A 21,300-nucleotide genomic window follows, 5' to 3' on the forward strand; every position below is an offset into this window, starting at 1 on the left:
GTAGTTCTGTTATTGTGAGTCTGAACCTAATGTGTATACTCCAGAGTTCAATTAGGTCTGGACTCGCTAGACTCTACTTGCATAAGACACTGAGGACCTTCAAAGAAAATGTCCTATTTGGGTATTCCTTATCAGAGGAAAACCAAAAGCAGAGAGACCAAGAGCTGCCATTCCTCTTTTGTTACAGCCTAACATACACACTCCTCAATGGTGATAGTGAGATGGGAATAACAACAGACTTTTCATTATCAGAAGACACAGCTGTAGTCAGAAACAAGTGTGGGAAGCAGGAGATGAAAACTAAAAGTGCATGTAGGTGGTAAGTGCAAAGCTTACTTTGAAGTACACATGGAATATCCCCAGTGGTCCCCCAGAAATGATTTTGGGATACAATGCACAAGCAGCTGAGGTTTCACATAAGTGAGTATTGCAGATTGTAACTTCCAAAGGTGGCTTCACAACTGTCTGCCATCTCACATGCTTTACTAAAAACTTGCCATTCCTTACCAAGGGATAAATCTCTGTCCAATCCTCTTGAACCTGAGCAGACCAATAGAATCTGACAGAAGTGAAAGTATATTACTTCCCAAGCTAGGTAATAACAATGTCGCATTTTGGCCTAAATCCTCTCCTTTGCTCTCTTGGAATGCTTGATTTTGCAATCATCTTGCATCATGCTGTGAGGAAGTCCAAACAGCCTGTGGAGAGAAACATGGAAAGGGAATGAGTTCCCAAGCCCACAGCCCCAGCTGAGCTTCCCAGCCCACCTCCTGGTTGACAGCTAGTGCACACCTTTCAGCCGTGGTAGTGAGCCACCTTGAGAGTGGACTCTCCATGCCCCAAAGAAGCACCCAAGATGATGGTGTGTAGCACTGAGACAAACACCCCTATTGAGCCCTGCTCAAATTATAGGTTTCCAGGCAAAATAAATGATTCATTTTGCTTAGGCCACTTAATTTTGGGGTGGTTTATTATGTAGCAATAGATAAGTATTGACAGATATGCGTTTGCTGCCATAATATTCTTGGTGGTTTAAAACAACACAATTTTACTATCTTTCCATTCCGTAGGGTAGAAGTCTAACATGAGTCTCCATGAGCTAAGGTCAAGATCTTGGCAGGTTTGAGTTCTTTCCTGTATACTCTGCAGAAGAATTTATTTTTCTTATTTTTTTTTTCCGGCTTCTAGAAGCAGCCCAAATTCCTTGGCCCGTGCTTTCCTTTCTCCATCTTGAAAACCAGAAATGGTGGAGTCCTTCTCTCACAAGACATTGCTTCTGCCTCTCACTTCCACTTTGAAGGCTCCTTGTGATTTCATTGGGCCCACCCAGATAATCCAGGATCATCTTCTCTTTAAGGTCAGCTGATTAGCAACCCTAATTCCAGCAGCAACCTTAAATCCCCTTTCCATGTAACCTAACACGTCCACAGATTCCAGGGATTAGCATGTGGGCCTCTTTGGAGGGCCATTATTCTGCTATCACAACACGTAAGGGCAAGAACCAATGAAACCTGCATTATAATTATAAAATAGCAGTTACATTGGTAATGGCCTCTAGATATTAGCCAGGGCACCACATCCATTGAGACATAAATAAAATTGGTTCAAACATCATGCATAGTGTGGGTTTCAATGTTCTTTCCAATCACTTCAGGAATTCTGGTGGAGGAGAGGATGACTTACATTGTTCCCAGTCACCTCTATTTTTACACTCCCATGCCTCCTAAATTTGTTAAGTTTATGGATTTTTTCACCATCCCACACATGGTGTCTCTGCTCTGTACTACATCTCACTTAGATACAATTTCTCTCCTTTCCTTGATTGCCACAAAATAGCAAATCAAATGTAGGAAATAATAAAGCCAACAGACAAATTTTACCTGAAGTGTGAGGAGACAGAAGGTGTGCATAAGAATAACAACTTAAAGTTACACTTTAGACATTCTGATTAGATACCAGTTCTGCTAACTCTGCTCAGCCAGCCACCCGGCATGGTTCAGTGGTTTCTTCTGGAGCAAAACACAAGAAAATGGAGTCAGGCCAGGTGCGGTAGCTCACGCCTGTAATCCCAGCACTTTGGGAGGCCATGGTGGGTGGATCACCTGCTGTCGGGAGTTCAAGACCAGCCTGACCAACATGGAGAAACCCCGTCTCTACTAAAAATACAAAAAATTAGCCGGCACAGTGGCGCATGCCTGTAATCCTAGCTACTCAGGAGGCTGAGGCAGGAGGATCACTTGAAACTGGGAAGCAGAGGTTGCGGTGAGCTGAGATCACACCATTGCACTCCAGCCTGGGCAACAAGAGCGAGACTCCATCTCAAAAAAAAGAAAAAGAAAATGGTATCATCCTATCACTTCATGCAGATTGAACCAGGCAGCTCCTTCTAGCTCCAGCCCCAGGCTCAGCTCTAGCTCTCCCATTGTATACACCAAGCTTATTGATGTGCCCAGTTTCTCATTTCTCCTTCCCTCACCAGTGTCTGCAAGAGGAATGGAGAGAGAGAGATTTATTTCTAGAATAATATAAATAATGCCACCACCTCCATCTCCCCCAGTAAGAAGGCAGAAAATATTACTGTCTATTTTGCTTTAAAATATTTTTTCTCCTCCACTTGGTTATAGGACCATAAAATATTTATGTAACTTTGATATTTGGGGAATTCTGTGAATTCAGGAGTCTGGAGACCTTAGGATAAATGTTTTGTTGGGTATTTTTGCTTCTGCCCATTTCATGCCCTGCTGTGACCAAGAGACCAAAAAGCAGACAAAGCAAGCAGACTGAGAGGCTGCTCATCAACAGGGCAAGTACCTGGTGATGTGTGCTTGAGAAACAAAAGGAGATGTTTTTGCCATGGGCTGGCCTAGGCCCAGAGCAGTGTGGTGCCAAAGGGAGGAAGGATAACAAACCCAGATGGAATCCAGAGTCTGCAGCAGTGCTTTAGAGTTTCCAAGGAAAATTAAAAACTAATAACCAGATAATACCTTCTGAGCACTGTGCCCTGTGGACTTCTGCTGAATTTTGGATGAGGTGAGAAAGAGAGGGAAGGAAGGTGACTAGGGAAAGAAATAAACCTTTAATAAAATCCACAGGTGTAGCATAAACCCCTATTCTAACTGGTGCCCCAGGGCTCAAGATGTCATTGGGTTTTTGAGTATGCTAAAATTGTGTTAATATTTGTTTGGGAAGATGTACTAAGCCTTGATAGGAAATGTGAGTGGAGCAGAGTTATGAATAATGAGAGAAATTTAGAAAGGCTACAGCCTCAAATAGCACAAAAGGCATAGTGATAGTTGTACATCAGAATGCTACATGGAACAGCTGGGTTCACACATTGTGTTGTGATAAGTGATTTTCACATATCAACTTATTTAATCCTCGCCATGAGAAGTGGTAGGTATATATCTCTCATTTCCAAAGATAAGAGCCTGACTAAGAAGTCTGGCAGAACTGGGTGGAAATTCTAGCTCTACAACATGCTAAGACTCAGTTCACCCATTTATGAAATGAGACAAATATTCCTACAACTTCTTCTTGTGAGGATTAAATAAGTAAATATGTGAAAATCACTTATCACAACACAAAGTGTGACACATAGCACATGCTCAATAATAGCAAATATATGTTTATGTATATATTTGTGTAAGTACAGATAATATGTTTTTTCCACTCAGTGAAGTGACCCAGCACACTGGGTACCCAGAAAAAAAAATTATTCAAATAAAGGAAAGCATTCTAACTGTGGTTTATTTACCCCTAAAGAGAAGAATTTTACCCCAGGTGCAAAGGGTAGACTTAAATGTTCAAGCAAAACTATCTTCACTTGCTGTCACTTCAGAAAGACTATAAATACTCAACCAAGAAAAACTTATTTTAAATACAGAATTAAGTGTAGGAATGAAACAATTTTTTTAAACCCTGAAGTATCTTTATTACTGTAACTTATTGTGTATGGCTTATGTACTCAAGATCCCTAGAATAGACCCAGTAGGGTGTCAATCCACAGAATTTTTAAATTAGAAGCAACCTTAGAGAACATCTAATTTAAAACTTTTCATTTTACAGACGAGGAAACCGTGGCTCTTTTGCAGTGAAAATCCTGGCTGTGCTCCAAAGCTACCCAAGGGTGGTGAAACTGCTCGGGAAGTTTCTGTTAGGAGTTTGGCCTGCCTTTCATTTAGAATTGGTTGTGCTTCTCAAAGCATTGTCTGCAGGTCCTCCTCGATGTATGAGAGACCAACCTCCTAGGGCATTAATGTCTAAAAGGAAATGCATATATCTACTGCAATCCAGATGTTACTTCACTGGAATTTCATCAAGTGAGCTCCCTGTTTCCCATTCATTTTGCAGAGCTGGGAATATTTTTGCTGAGTTTTTAAGTCTATTTAACGTGATCATCCTTGGTTCCTCTTTTCCTTTTGCTCCTGGCCCCTTCAAATCAATAGGCAAGACCTGCTAAGTCTGCTTTTAAGACATACCATCCTGGTCTAAGAGGCCATCATCTCTCACCTGGGCTAAGTTAATAAATAGCCCGTAGCTGGTCTCTTTGCTTTTATCTTGTCTCCCTAATGGCAGCAATCTTTCAAGTGGATCAGATTAGTGGCCCTGTGTAAAGCCCTCCAGGGTTTTCCACTGCATTTAGAATGATATCCAAATGCCTCACTCTGCCTACAAGGCCCTATGTAAGATGATCCCTCTCTCCCCACTCAAACTCATCTTTTACCCATCTTCCACTTGGGCCTATGCTCCAGCTACTCTTGCCTTTATCTCTTCCTTGAACATCTTAGGGCCCTAATACTGTGTTGCATCTACTTGGAATGCTCTTCCACCAAAGCCTCTAATATCTAATCAATCCCATCTCCACTTACATGTCACCTTCTCAAGGATGCATTCCCTGATCCAATCTAAACAAGACCTCTAGTCGCACTCCATCACATCACTCCTCTGTTTTATATTTATTGTAGCATCTAATATCTTCATGCTTTATTTACTTGTTTGGTTTTCATTGTAACCCAGCACCTGCATTAATGTCTGACAATAGCAGATATTCAATGAATGTTTTTAGAATGAACAAATGGGTGAATGAATGGCACTGCAGGTAGAAAAAGGTAGTACCTGACGGTCCTCTGAGTCACTGAAGGAACTACTGACTGACAAGAGTACAGAAGAAAGAAACTTAAAGCACTAAATGCTATTCTGACTTAAGGTCTAAAATAAAATCATTCAGTATTTTTTTTCTGAGTCTGAATCTGGTAATTTCCAAGTGGTAAGAACTTTCATCACTACCAGTTCTACATAAGTAGCCTAAGTCTTGTAAATAAAAATAATAATTTAAAAATTCCAACTGGGAGTGGTGACTCATGCATGTAATCCCAGCACTGTGGGAGGCCAAGGTGGGCGAGTAGCTTGATCTCAGGAATTTGAGACCAGCCTGGGCAACATGGCAAAACTCCATCTATCCTAAAAATACAAAAAAAATTAGCTGGGTGTGGTGGCTCACACCTGTGGTCTCAGCTACTTGGGAGGCTGAGGTGGCAGGATTGCTTCAGCTGGGGAGGTGGAGGTTGCAGTAAGCTGAGATCATGCCACTACACTCTAGCCTGGGTGACAGAGCGCAACTTCGTCTCAAAAATAAAAAATTTCCACCATTTCCTTGGAAATACAATGCAAAACTTATTAGCTTTAGTGTATAGATTTTTTTTCCCCAATGTTCAGTTTATTTCTGTGTTTTTGGCTTTCATTCCTTACTTCTTTTAAGCCTTTTGGAAGCTTCTCTTTCTGAATGGTTATGTGGGTTGATTCCCAAATTTTAATCCAAACTTTTAATAATGGAGCAGTGGGAAAAAAGACAGTGATCAAGGATATATGGTCCAGAACCTGGATTTACCTCTTCAATTTAACCTACTACTGTATTTGTATTTTTTAAGAGAGCCTCTAAATATGCTGCAGCATGACATAGCCATGGTAGGTAGCCATACCTGCCAGATGGTTTCCAGAGTACAAACACATGTGATTAGTGTTGGATGAAGAAATGGGAATAAAAATAATGTGGAATCCAGTGAGTCCACATACCTGCAGATAGCAACTCACACTCACAGCATCTAGCATGCCATAGAGCACAGCCAGATGGCAGCCTGGGGGGAAGCAAAACCCAGCATTTCCTCCAGGAGCCTGATCCTCAGCTTGGCCCATGCTTGAAATGCTTTAAGTAATGATTTTTTAAAGTTTTGCGGGGTTTGTTTTTCCTTTTTAAATCTGAAGGTGCCTTGCTCACTAACCCTGTTGGATTAAATCTCTAGCAAATTGGATTACTCTGTGCTTACTTGAGAGAACTTGGACTTGAAACAAGACCCATTTTCTTTTGTTCTTCTTCCAGATCCTACTGTGGATTCTACTGCACTTGGAATTCTTTGAGCCATTGAAATTACCTGGGGCATCTGTTAGGGCTATCTCCATTTTAAGCACTAGGAAAAAGTGTTGCTTCCTATTGGAAGTGACCCCATCTCTAATAGCAGAGATTTAGAAAAATAATGCATTCAATGTTAAATTTATTTAAATAGCTGCAATGATTAGTTTCTCTACTGTCAATAGGGGGAAAAATACCATGTCAAGGGGTGAAATCAGTGACCATTTTGGATAATGTCCATATGGGAATATTAGATAACAATGAGTCTTTGGAGAAAGAGGCCCATGGATTTTGCAGGTGCACACATGGCAATTATTATCCCTTCTGAGCAGAATAGACAACTGAGTGCATCTCAAAATTTTAGTCACAATTCTTACTACTAATGAAACATAGATCTATTTACGAACTCTTGTGCCCATTTCCAAAATCTAGAAACAAGTAATTACACAACTTATTAGCTTACTACAAGTTCACTGATAACTCTACTGCAAGAACATGTATAAATTCCAAGAATAAAATATAAATAAGGCATTACGAAGGTTTTCTTGGAAGGAAGATCTGTTTGAACTGAGAGATAAAACATGAATTTTAATTGTTTTAATTAATTATTATCACAAAATGAAGTGAAAATTCTATAAAATGGAAATCACATGGGAAAACACACTTAATTGCACCATCCTAACAAACTTATCTGTATTGTATATCTTTCAAACATGTTTCTACATCACTATACATTTTGTTTTTGTTTTTTTCATGTTTAAACCATCTTTATTTACAAAATACTGTCCTGAGAACTGTAATTCCATTAAACTTCAATTTGAGAAAAGTGTAATCACTTAAGTAACAGCAGTTACTTAAACTGAAAATGAGATCAGTCAAAGTTGCTTTTGAAGAAAGCAAAAATATTGTCAGATTTCTTGCTGTGGTTCTGGATGTTCAGTAGCAGGCTCCTTTGAAGGTGGAATCAACCCTCAAGGGAACTTGCTTCTACCTTCAGAATGTGGGGTTGGGGTAAAATCCAGGTCTTGGATGAAAGTAAGGAGGTAAACCCCTCTGTGGATAGATGTTTCTCATTGCAAATGGAGCATGTGGTGGACCTGGGAAATCCCTTGATAGAAAATAACCTCGTGAAGCTCCAAACATGGTTCCTGGAGGAGGTTGGGGGAAAGGAGGTCCTCTTCTCGTGAACAGGCCCCTTGTATCCACTGGAAACAATGGACCACTGATTGCAGCAAGAGGTGGAGGAATAAAGCCGGGGCCAGTTGCTTCATTTTCGGCAGGGAGAGATGAATCAGGCACATTTAAATGACCAGGATCATCTTTGGCATCATTTCTAGTGGATTCCATTTCTGAAGGCATTGACCCATCCATTTTATCCAAACAAGGCATATTAAAACTTCTGAGTTCTGCTGGTCCAGACAGTCTATCAGAATTAGAATAAAATCTGTCTTCCCTTTGTGGAGGAAGAGCTGAATCAGGATATGATTGTCCTGGTGGAGGAAACATCATCCTACGGTCCTGTTCCCATGGAGATGAGAGGGACCCAGTGTCAGAAGGAGCCCTGTGAGCATCAGTTGACCTATCACAGCTTGGTTCTCCTCTTTTATTGGTAATCTGATGGTCCAGAGGATTCCCTGGGCTGCTTGGGCTTCCTCCTCCCCCTGGAAGCACAGGTGAGAGTCTGAGTGGATCCTCCAACAAAGTTTGAGGAGAGAGAAAAGCTCTCGTTTCAGATGAAGGCTGACCCAACGGTGAGGGACCATATGGCGAACGCTCTCTGCCAAATGTTGTATTTGAAACATCAAGTGCATTAGGATCTTTTTCTAAAAGTTCAGATTTAAACTCTGTTTCAGTTAATTTTTGTTTGTTGTGAGCATTTTCTTTCCTTAAATCATTGAGGTTTCTTTCAGCAGTCCGAGCTGCCAACCAATTATTATGTCCTTTTTTCTCGTAGGAAATAACCTGCTTTTGATAAAAATGAACAGTTCTCTCCAATTCTTCTTCAAGATCTTTGGCTAGCTTTCTATAGGTCTCCAGCTCTTCAGTGACATGGCTGATCTTTTCTTCCACTTTAGAAAGCTTCTCTTATTCCTCTATCTGGTAATTTTCTTCTATTGTCAATTTCCTGTGGAGTGTCATTTCATTTTCTTGATATAGTTCAGTCATTATTTTAAGTTTCTGTTGAAGCTTCTGATTCTCACTTTCAAAATATATGTTTTCTGACTGCAAAGATGCTTGTTGAGTCTGAAGATTTTTAATATGCTCGGTAAGCTCTTCCTTTGTTTTGTCCACTTCAGATAACTGAATAATAATGTGGTTTCTTTCTCCTTCTAAGGCTTTTAAAGAAACATTTAAGTTAGCAGCATGAATCAGTTTCTTCAAAGCTCCTTTGGGAGGATCATCTAAGTAAGCACCATTTTCCGATTGACTGTTCACTTCTAATTCCAAGTTATCATCATCCGTTGTGTCTTCTTCAAGCACAGCAGCCTGATCTTTCATCATTGGCAAGTGTCCAGTCAGGGTCTTGATGTGATTTTCTTTATCATTCAGAACTTGTTCTGCTTATACTTTGGAGTCTTCAAATGTTATTTTCTGTTTATTAAGTTCAGTCACTTGTTCTTTCCATACTTCAGCTTCTCGCAAAAGCTGTTTCTGGCTTTCCTGAAGTTGAGAATTTTCACTCAAAGCATCTTTTATTGCTATCGCCCGTCGTTCTTCAGTCATTGGAAGAATCTTGCAGATGATTTTGGCTTCAGCTATTTGTGATTTGAGGGATTTTGACTCATCTTCTAGAGATTGTATCCTTTTTGAAATATCTGCCATCAGTTCATCTTGTGGAGAATGTTTAGATTTCTCTTCTTTTAACTCTATTTCTAGACAGAGGATTTCATCCTCAAGTTCAGAATTGGACCTGTTCAGCTTTTCACAGGTTGCCTCCAAACTTCGTGCTTCTGCTGCCGCCTTCTCAAAGCTGGCATCCTCTAAAGATGACTGTACTTCATAGCCTTCATACTCTTTTGGAATAAGGCTAAATTTTTCAAGTAGTTTACATTTTTCTTCAATTAGTCCAGAAAGCATTTCACCAAGTTTTTTTCTCTCTTCCCACATAAAGCCGACTCCTAACCGATCTAAAACTTCTCCACAAAAAAAGGAGAACAACAAAAAATCCAACAACAGCTGCGCATACCACCAGTTCGCATGGAAAACCATAAGGATTCGAATCTTGTCTCATACTCTCAGGTAGTGCTGCCACAATTCTGCGTAGCTCCTCCAGGACCAGCCCCAAGTAGGGCCGAGCGGTAGCGCCGGGCTCCTCCATAGCGCCAAGCTGCTCTGGCGGTCACCGCAGTTAACACTGGCCACAACAAGCGGTGGAGAACACGCAGCCTTGGGTCTGGAACCCGAATCCGCACGCGGCAACCAACCGGAGCGGACTACTGCGGAGCCGGCTGCGGAGGGAGCTGGGGAATGCGGGCACCCCCCACAGGCCTCACAGGCCCGTGCTGCCCCCCGCACCCTCCCTCGGCCCCCCTGTTACACTTTACATCCTGAGGCAGCGCTGGTCCGAGCCCGACCCGCCTTAGTTCTGGCAGTTTTCACATCACATATTTTGAAGCTCTATTTTTTGGTGAATACACTTTTAAAATTGCTGTCTTCTTCATGGATTAAACCTTTGATCATTATATAATCTCTCTGTTTCTGGTAATTTTCTTTGCTTTATCTGATATACGTACAGGCACTGTTGCTTTCCTTTCATTAATGTTTGTGTAATATATCTTTTTTCATCCTTTTAATTTGGCCTGCCCTGTATTGGTAAATTTCAAGTGAGTTTCTTGTACACAGCACACAAGAAACATATAAGAAAGGGTCATAGTTTTAAATACACTCTTCTATTATCTGTCTCTTGGTAGATCATTCATAATTAAACTAATTGTTGATACTTTAGTGCATAAGCCTGACATTTTTTGTTTTCTGTATCAATTCTTGTTTCTCTGCTTATTTTTGATGACTTCCTGTGGGTCACTTGAACATTTCTTTTAGAATTCCATTTTGTTATTCATAGTGTTTATAGTGTATCTTCTTTTTTATAGTTTTTTTGGTTGCATTTTATAGCTTAGTGTATATTCCTTTATATATACATTATCACAGTCAATTGGTATCATCTTTAGTCCAGTCTGAGTGAAGTGTAGCAACCCTCTGTCATATTATGTCTCTTTACCCTCTCAAATTTGTAGTATAATTGTCTTACATACATTTAGAATAACACTAGACAATGCTGTGATTTTTGCTTGAAACATCAATCATAATTTAGGAAATTAGAATCTGTGAAAATAAAGTGAGCATTTTAGAGCTGCCAGAAAGAAATCTGACACAACCTGTTTTGTCTTTCATTTTTTCTTTCTTTCCTTTATATTGATCATAGATATCATGATGCCCTATCTATTTTTTCTTTCTTTCTTTCCTTTGATTTTTCTTTCTTTCCTTTATATTGATCATAGATATTATGATGCCCTATCTATTAACTCCAATATCTGGATTATCTATGAGTTTTTTTTTTATACTTTTAAGTTTTAGGGTACATGTGCACAATGTGCAGGTTTGTTACATATGTATACATGTGCCATGTTGGTGTGCGGCACCCATTAACTCGTCATTTAGCATTAGGTATATCTCCTAATGCTATCCCTCCCCCTACTATACATGTTTTATACAGTGATAGTCATGTTGTTATACATAGTTTTTTTTTTAACTTTTCAACTTACTTATTAAAAGTACTTTCCTTTGTCGCCACACCTGTCCTCATAATTGTCATCTTTTTTTGGTTGCAACATAATATTCTACTTAACGTAATTTAATTAGTTTATTCACTATTATTTGACATTAAGTTATGATATTAGAAAAACATATCTTTACAGATAAGATTTATTCCTCCTCCTTTGGTTTCTTTATTTAGGATAAGTTTATAAATGTGGGATTATGAGATCTATGCTTCTGAACATTTTTACAACTGTTAATATATGATGCCAATTTATTTGGCAAAGGCAAGATAATTAATTCTTTTTCCAGCCATACATGAAGTTTCCAGATTCACCTCAATATTGTCAGCAAAGGAATGTCTATCCGTCTGTCTCTATGCAATTTAATAGGTTAAAAAATGCAATTTTCTTCATGCTTTCATTTTTACTTGTTTACTAGTGAAATCATTTTAACATGTTAAGGAATAATTATATTTCTTCCTTTTGTATGATCTGTTACAGTTTTTTAACTGTGTTTGTCCAGTTAGGGGGAGGTCTTTTCATCAGAAAACTCAGGTTGATGAAGGCAGAAATGCAGAGCATTTTGATTTGTTTGGATTATAGAGTACACAAGAGGGGAGAACAGAAAAACAAGCATGAATCAAACTGTGACCAAATTACAGAAGGTCAGGAAAGGAAGAGCAACTTTCTCAGCAAGAATTAAGATTCTCTTCTTGCAAGAGTTGTGTTAAATGTGGATTAACGGTTATTAAACAGGATTTATCCAAATTGGTTCATAAACAAAAAAAAAAAATCCCCAATTTCAAACCTCTCTTATGATTCATGAAACAATCAAATATCATCTTTGTTCTGCAGGGCAAAGACATGATATAAATATGTTAGTGTCATTCTGCATATGACGAATGTATTCTTAATAAATATTGCTTTTGAGTGTCAATATTAGTTTTTGCAATCACTAAGTTTTAAGTGTAGAATAGTGGAGGGGAGAAAAGCAATATTTTTCCTCACCAGTTGCTAGGTTCATGGCTGAGACTCCTATAAAAAAGATAGTTTAACAAGATACAAGTCTATTTAATAAATTTTAAATTATTTCATACAAATGTATTTATTATGTTTTATGTGACACAAGGCCTTCAAAATTGAAGACCCAAGAAACAGGAAAACTGTGTGTTTTTATAAAGAGTTGCGCAGAAGTGTGATGGGAGGACAAAAGGGCATGATCTAATGGTCATCAACTGGGTCAGGGGAGATTTAGCAAGGCCTGTTTGTTTAGATAGGGTAGGACACCTGTCACATGAGGGTGTTCAGGGGAGAAAGGAGGGAGAAGGTCAGAAAATGACCTTTCTAATAAGTTTTATGGCCTGCTTCAGGGGAGGACAACAGAGAACTTCCTGTTTCTGCTGTTTTCTCAAATGCCAAGGTGCCTTATTTTGGGGTAGCATATCTGGAATGCTGTTAATAGGTAGATAGGAATTCTAGCGTACAATTTAACAATATACACTTCAGTAGGAAAGATGTTTGATTCATGCAACATCATCTCAGTGATAGATTTATTATCAATACACAAATTAATCTAAAAAATAGCATTAGTTATTATAGCAGTCAAGGTCAAGTAAAATAGTGGCATATTCAGCTTGACTACCAAAGCACACTAGCATTTCTATTTAGAGAGTTTGAAATTATCCCAAGCTTCATGACTATAATTTTCTTTGAGTTTACTCATTTTCTATGTTTTTGTGTCAGATATGTGTTCATGTATGTGCATTGATTTTTGAGATGCTTTTAAATGATATGTAAATACCTTTTTAGTTATGAATTTTGCAAATAATATAATGCTTGACGTACAGGCAGATTCCGCGAATGTGTGCTTGATATGCTACAAGAGTAATAATAAATACTAAATGATTGTAAGTGCTCTTTTTGCACTAAAGTTTACCTAATATAATTTAACACAAGCTTATCAAATTTATAGAAAATAGAATTTCATGTCTGTGATTGCCATCTGTTATAATAGAATCCTAGTCCCAACTTTATACCTGCAGAGGAAAAGCTTGTTGGTCACTAGATACAACTGCTTTGTTTGAGAGGCTTGATTCTTTGTTTATCAGAGCAGTAGATAACAAAGGTGATAGATAAGAAAGTGCAGGGGACTGGGCGTGGTGGCTCACGCCTGTAATCCAGCACTTTGGGAGGCCGAGGCAGGCAGATCAAGAGGTCAGGAGTTCAAGACCAGCATGACCAACATGGTGAAACCCCATCTCTACTAAAGAATACAAAAATTAGCCAGGTATGGTGGCACGTGCCTGTAATCCCAGCTACTCAGGAGGCTGAGGCAGGAGAATCACTTAAACCCAGGAGGCAGAGGTTGCAGTGAGCTGAGATCTCACCATTGCACTCCAGCCTGGGTGACAGAGCGAGACCCTGTCTCAAAAAAAAAAAAAGAAAGTCCAGGAAGCCTGGCCCAGTAACAGGTCCCTTGGTGAATGGGGAGATACAACCGCTGCACTTGAGCAAACTGAGTTGTACCATGTCTAAAATTCTAGCAAACTAGTGTGTGGTTTCCTTTACATCATATGTTGTGATTAAAATGTTATATATATATTTTTTACATAATGGGCTTTCTCAGTAATGCAACTCTAGAGATAAAGCAGGATTGAACATTTTGATAAAAACAGTACTTGTTTTATATCAACATTTTCTACGTAGGAATTGGCTTTTATATGGTGAAATTGATTTTTGTTTATTTAGTTTTGTGGTTTGATGCTGTCTACTAATTTAATCACTTATTTGGTCTTTGCTGGTAGAGGGGATATTATGATGACACTAGCTAAAACATCTGGGGGGAAGTTAAAACATTCCATTATCTGTCTGCTTCACCTACAGCATGGCAAACATCTGGACACTGGAAATTGTTCCCAGTTTTTGTATTCAGATGATTACAAATGGTGCCAAACTCAGTCACTGTCAATAAACACCACTTGCATTAAAGTAACACGGTCACACAACTTGCAAGATCCATGAAGAGGATCTCATTTGGGGAGTTCAACAAAAAGAAGGTTTTTACACAGCTGCATAGTCACCAAAGAAGAATCCCAGGGACAGGACATGTGACAACCTCATTTATTCATTCGTTCATCTACTCAGTGTCATTCAATACATATATGCCAATGCTGTTGAAAGAAGACTATGGTTTTGGAAATGGTGCATTGGAGTGTGGTGTTGTTTAAATGTCCTCCAAGAGAAAATACCCCTGCTACACATTGATGCTCTTTGTAACCATTCTTGAAATTTTGGTTTGGTTAATTGTTTACTGAGGATATTACATGGGGCTTTCTGACTGGCATGTTTCTGCCTTTTGAACACTGAGAGTGTAATATTCTCAAGTTTCCCCTAGAGAAGAGGTACAAAAGATGCATTGGGAATCTCACATGAGCCATCCTATGAAATCAACTTTCTATTGTATGTTGTTGTTATTGTTATTGTTATTGTTCAGCATTCTTTCTTCATCTCCTTCCTTCTTTCTCTCTCCCTCTCTCCCCCATCTCTCTCTGTATATCTCCATCTTTCTCTCTCTTCTCTCTCTCTCACTCTTTCTCTTCTCTCTCTCATCTCAGCCAGAAAATGCTGTGCAGGTGTTATTCGTCATTGAAAATACACTCCGTTACAGACAATTTAGTTTATGTGCTAAAGCAAATACACAGTTACAGATAATTTATTTAATGCAACCAGGAAATGCTGGTATCTGATCAGAGCTTCTATTTGGACAACATGAAAGAATTTAGCAGGTTTATATGCAGTTAAAGCTGAGGAAAGGGAAACCATTTGTGAGCAATTGAAGCAGTGCAGAAAAGGGAGAGTTGGTAGATCTCACTGTATTGCCTTTGATTATTCCCTGTTGTAAAAATTCCTCTTTGTGGACAGAGGCAGAAACAGAAAATAGCCATATAAGTTAGATTTTTTTTTCCCATCAGAAAATGCCAGATGTATCTTAAGAGAGGTATAACAGTGTTGTGTTTTCTTTCTGGATGCACTGCCTATGGGAACAAGAACACAGACACCAGCTAGAAATTGATAGAACAAGAATCAGACCTCAAAATAGAGAAAGGAGGAGAAAACTGGGGAAAGCTGTGCAAAGCGCCAGGGCACAAAGCCAGTGTTTCAAAACAAGAAACATCCAACTCAGAAAAGAAGAAGAAATCAATGTAGAATCTTGGGGACCTGACTGTGGCTGACACATCCCAAGGAGAGCTACCTAGGGCTCTGAGCGTACCCTGGCCATCAGGCAGCAATGGCTCTGAATCTGGGGAGGGCTGGTCCTGTAGGCAAATGAAATTCCGGCCAGGTAGTAAACTAGAGGTTGAGAGCAGTCAGGGACTGGCATTTGCCACTTCAGTGGCACTATTTTCTTTTCATTTTTCTGAACTCTTGGAGGGTTCAATTATTTGTCTCTAATGATAAATATTCTGTAATGATGAATCCAGTGTTTTTCATTTATTTTTATTGTTTCTTCAAATTATCACCCTTGGCTGTAGTATTCTCTCCAAATTGCTTTTGTTGAAGAAATTTATTCTGTGTAAAGAGGATAAAGGAGTCAACTAATTAGTCTTCTCAAATGTTAATTCTAGTACCAGTACTCGTTTACTTGGAATCTTTGTATAATGATCATAGGCTTTGAGGTAGGCTATAGTATAAATGCACTGTAATGTAAGTATAAATTCCATTTGTAGTTGAGAATTCTCTGCACAGATACTCCGAAGATAATGAATCTATGTAATACTTTACGGACTGAATACTTTTTTCTCCTTTTGACATAACAGTGAATTACAAATTATATAAACAATTGACTGCTCTTCTCAAGCAAAGTCAAGAGGCTGCAATTACCCCAAGAGAAAGACTTTAGTGTCTTTGACCTGACATTGACCACAGTTTTCAACTTTCCAAATGTACTGAATAAGTAGAGAATATCAGATATTCAGAAATCTTCGTTCCTTTTGATTAGCTTTTAATTAACTTTCTATGTCCTTTAATGAAGATTCAAGTTTTTTTATAATCATACAGAGTTCATGACTCCTGCGTATCCTTAATACCACTGAAGCCAGAATTTTACATAATAATTGGTTACTTAAAATGCAATAGCATGGTAGACAAACCATAAGCTGATGGCTTTGAATTAGCGTGGTCTTTGATAAGAGCTTTATTCCACTGCCCTGGGAATCATATGCTTTAGGAAAGATTTGTTTAGAATTGGACAAAAATCAGAAGTAGTAAAAGCTCAAATTCCTAAATCAAGTGACATGAATTTTAGTGAACCGGGGACATAAAACTGAATTGGCCCCAAAATTATTTCTTCCTTTGGCTTCTATCTCTACTCCACTGTCACCACCTCCAAGGTAACCCAGAAAAAAAGTGTAAAGGAAAAGAGAAAGTTCAATGATAGATGAGTCCAAAATTATTTTATTGAAAGGTCTAAATTCCTTACAGGTAAAAATTCTACTCTTTCCTGAAATACTATAATTTTCTGTGAAGATAGTCTCAAAGTTTTCTGTAAAATACCACTTAATATCACTTAACTAGTGTCAGCAGTCACTATTTTGGGTTGATCTTTTCTAAGGTTGTGATGAATTTCACTGTAGAACTTCATAGCAAATATAGTTTATAGGACAAACAAAAAGAAATAAAGCACAGCAGGTGACATGTTTAAACTACCTGAGAGAACAGACTCTACTTAAGAAACCTACTCTGTTTATGGCTTACATTGGAATGAATGTTAGAACTGGTGATTATTGATGCAGTCTTCTCATTTAGTAGATGTAAAAACTAAAGAGGAGTGAAACTACAGGACTTAATGAAAATTTCAAAGCAGAAGTTTTGCTTTCATTAAAATAAGCCCAACAATAGATGTATTTTAAAATGCTGTTATTTATTAACCAGAAATTTGACATATACTTCAAAATATTAAGATTTAATTCATTTAAATATTTTATTTGAACATATTACCATTCTCAATTTATTTTCTTTCTTTCCTTTTTTTTTTTGTTTTTTTGAGACAAAGTCTCACTCTGTTGCCCCCAGGCTAAAGTGCAGTGGTGTGATCTCAACTCACTGCAACATCTGCCTCTTGTGTTCAAGCAATTCTCCTGTCTTAGCCCCTCGAGTAACTGGGACTACAGGTGCATGCCACCACACCCAGCTAATTTTTGTATTTTTAGTAGAGACAGGGTTTCACCATACTGGTCAGGCTGGTCTCGAACTCCTGACCTCAGGTGACCCACTCACCTTTGCCTCCCAAATTGCTGGGATTACAGGCTTAAGCCACCGTGCCTGACCCCACTGTCAATTTATTTTCATATATTTAGTTTGAACTTCATCTCATTAGCCTAGTTTGCTGAGATTGGCCTATAGTCATAAGTCTTTTTGCTCTGAATATAAAGCTTAACAGTATTGTTTACTGTTTCCTATAAATTACACTCTAGTGAAATATTGAGTGACAGTTTTTACATTTGATACATCTAAGTGATGAAGATTCAACCAGTTACCTAGAGATAACATTTCAAAATGGAATATTTGGCACCAACATCAATAGAGACATTCTCCTTGCATTTATGTTAAATTTGTCTTCAGTCAATTCAACCATGCCTGGTTGTGCAACACTCTCTTTGATTCTTGGTTTACTCCAGAGGCTGAAATGTAAGTGAATATTGTAATGCCCATCAATATTATCTACAAGGCTTATTCCAAAGCTTAAATCCAGTCCACAGTGGAGGGACTCAGAGTCCTACAGGGGAAACCTCACATGCCTGATGAGCCAGCCCCACATCAAAACAAGTAAATAATCTAAACACCCCAAGGGCAGCGCTAGTATTTCCCAGACAACTTAACATCTACAAACTCGGAAACCAAACGTATTTGTTCACCTTTAAGCTATTATTAAAGGACTGGTTACTTATTCAGAAGAACTTGAATTCTTATGCCTCTATAGTAGTTTTGTCAAACTTTTTGATCTCTGACCCTTTACTCTCTTAGAAATTATTGAAGACCCAAAAGAGCTTTTTACTATATGGGTTATATTTATCAACATTTACCATGTTATAATTTAAAGCTGATAATGTTAACATCTTTTATTGAATTTTAAAGAAGCAATACATTCATTATATATTAGAAATAAATCATATCTTTTTAAGAAAAAAGAGAATTATACTTTACAAATCAGCGAGAAGATGACAGTGGCTGGCCCAAAGGAAAACAGCTGGTTTCTCATATCTGCTTTTGCAATCAATGTGCCATGATCTGTTATTTTAGTTGGAGTGTAAGAAAAAAATTCAGGCTTCATGGAGATACGCAGTTGCAAAAGGACCTCCTCAAATAGTATCAGAGACCTACAGGTGTCCAGGGACCACACTTTGAGAATCACAGCTCCAGAAAAGACAATACCTTTTTCCATTCAGTGCTTGGAGAACATGACCACTGGAGAACCCCAGTTTTATTATTCAGAAATGACAATGAGACTCATTTGTCCAGAAGAATGTAAAAACTATTAAGTCAAACACTTCATTGTCAGAGAGGTTCCTATAATACAAATCCTGTATGTTCCAGCAGGGGCATTTTAGCCCACAGCTCGCTCCTGTATTCTGATGTACTGCCCTTCAGCATTTTGAACTTATAAAACCCTAATGTCTGTCATCTAGAAGCCTCAAAACTTGGAGGACAACTGTCAATTCAAAGCCATATATGAAGCCCATATTTCTACCAGTTCTTGTCCTAGAAGCACTGACTGGCTTCTATACTCTTGTCCCAGTTCTAAGACACCATGGTACTTTGCAACCAAGCCAGTGATACCTTGATATATATTTTGTGTGTGGTCCTGGAAGTGCTTGGTTGAGTCATGATTATTTGGACTTTGGCAGTTCATTTTCCTCAGGAATAAATGTTGCATCTCTGGAAACCCTGAACTAATAATGTTAAGCCAAATACTCCAAATTTCTTATCTTTTATAATAAAATTTCTTGTCTGTTCCTAAGGTATGTAAGTTCAGTCCCTTCAGTTTTTAGAAAACAGAAGCTAAGAAGGGCTAAAATACTTTCCCAAGGGTACACGGAAAGTAGGGCAGAATTTAAGTCCACTTCTTTTTGGACCCTTAATATAAGTGTGGTTAGACTGTCTAATGGACTGAAATAAATATGGCCCTGGAAAAATATACCCGAAAACCCTCTTCCACACTCTGACCTCATCTAGTTGAAACATTCCACAGTTGACCCCATGAACCCCAAACTCCAGCATCATAGTAGTGTTCAGGGAGATGAAGACCTTCCTGACAGAACCATGTGTTAGTTCAGGATCTCTAAGAAGGAAGGGTAACCCTAAGTCAAACCAATTAAAGTGACAGTTGACTTATTTCTCTGTATAGAAGAACCAATTCAGAAGACTTCTGTGCAGATATTATGCCACTGCTGACCTATATTTTAAAATATTTATGGGATTAAAATTTTCTCTGGTGTTGGGGATCAAATATGCTTTAACAGATCTTGGGCCTTTAAGACAGAGATATGTTGGTTTCTCCATAAAATCAGTTCGATAAGTCTGAGTTGTCTCCTTTACAGGCAGGAAGAAATGGCTTCCCTTGGAGCTATCCATGGAACTTATCTAAGGGACTCATGTTTTTAGCCTGCTTCTCCAGCTTAGGTCTGCCCTGCTTCCAAGTATTTCTAGCACACCAAGCTTCTTTGTGAGTCTTGCTATGACTAGTTTTTGAAATGGAACCTATGTTTTTCAAGCCCAGAGGCCTTACACTGCAGGTTAATATTTCCAGTCCTACCCTCTACCTATTCATCGCCTTCTTTGTGCTAGCCCCATCTTTGCCAGGAATCCGCCCACCTGCCCCTTGTCCAGGCATATTGCCCTGCCCAAGACAGAGACTGACTTAAAGAGTAACCAAGACTAACCTTAAAAGCAACCAGTAAGCATGATTTAAGGATGATTGGAAAACATTTCCTGCCCCCAAAGTATTCCTCCATTTTAGACTTGGAATGTGACAATCCTCCTATTTGGGAATGTAGCAACAAAGAACAATGTGACTGGATTTGCACAGGGCACCAGATTAAATATTTTATATACTTTGTCTAGTTGACATTCACAACATCTCTATGAGATAAAAATCATTATCCCCAGTTTACAGTTGAGGGAATCAAGGCCCAGAGAAATTAATAACATGTCTAATTTAACACAACTGGTATGTAGCAGAGGCAGTTTCACACTTCAGTCTAACTGGCTGTATACCCAGTGCTTTCTGCCTTGCAGAATAGAATCTGAAATAACCTCAAGCATCCTTAGATTCATTGTTGTTTACATGTAAGCAACATTTGGCATCTGGCCTTTAATATCTCTTTGCTTTAGGCACTTCATCATTTTTATGTCACATGCTCATTCACCCTTGACCAAGGCTAGGGAAGATATATGTTCTTTGCAAACTGACTGATTGAGTACAGGTGTAAAGCTATGTCATGAAAAACCTTTGACCCCTTTCTTTGTCCCAGGTAACAGGCAATTAAATCAGAGTAGTTTGCTTCAGGCCAGAAGATCATTGACCAGTACAAGGCATCTTTACTTTTTTTTTTAGCTTAGAGATACCATTAATGTCACAGAGCCCCGTAGCCAAAACGAAGGACAGTTTTGCAAATGATGGATTTAACCTTTGTCTTTTGGAAGCTAGATGTGATTATCTCCATCAGCTTTTGTTCACACTCTTATAGCTCATTTTCTAGTGTTTTAATCTTCAGTCGTTCTAATTTCAAAGTTCCAAGGCTCAGAGAACTAACTCACTCTGCATTAATAACTAACTTGGCCAGCCAACTAGTTAGATAATCGCTTCTTCTAAAGACCTGAATTTAATCACATATAAGATAATACGCATTGGCTCCTAGGATTAGAAAGAAAATAGACCTTTGGGGTGTCGGGCACTGTTTAGCCTACCACAGTCCATCTTCTGATTCCCAAAGATTCATGTTCATTCCACGTGCAAAACCCATTCACCACATTCCAGCATACCTCAAAATCTCAACCCATTACTGCATCAATTTAAAATTCATCCAAATCTCATCTAAATATCAGCACCTAAGAAGTCCAAGATGATTTAGAATTATC

The 21,300-nt window shown here is 38.6% G+C and overlaps 1 protein-coding gene and 1 pseudogene across 3 annotated transcripts in view; one reads left to right on the forward strand and one right to left on the reverse strand.

Annotated features, from left to right (window-relative positions):
- The window catches only part of B3GALT1 (beta-1,3-galactosyltransferase 1), a 581,045-nt gene that overhangs the window by 413,340 nt on the left and 146,405 nt on the right, over window positions 1-21,300 (forward strand). The gene's annotated exons all lie outside the window — the stretch shown is intronic.
- CTAGE14P (CTAGE family member 14, pseudogene) lies at window positions 7,157-9,725 on the reverse strand (annotated as a pseudogene).

The sequence above is a fragment of the Homo sapiens genome, chromosome 2 (assembly GCF_000001405.40).
Source record: "Homo sapiens chromosome 2, GRCh38.p14 Primary Assembly".
NCBI classification, from domain to species: Eukaryota; Metazoa; Chordata; class Mammalia; order Primates; family Hominidae; genus Homo; species Homo sapiens.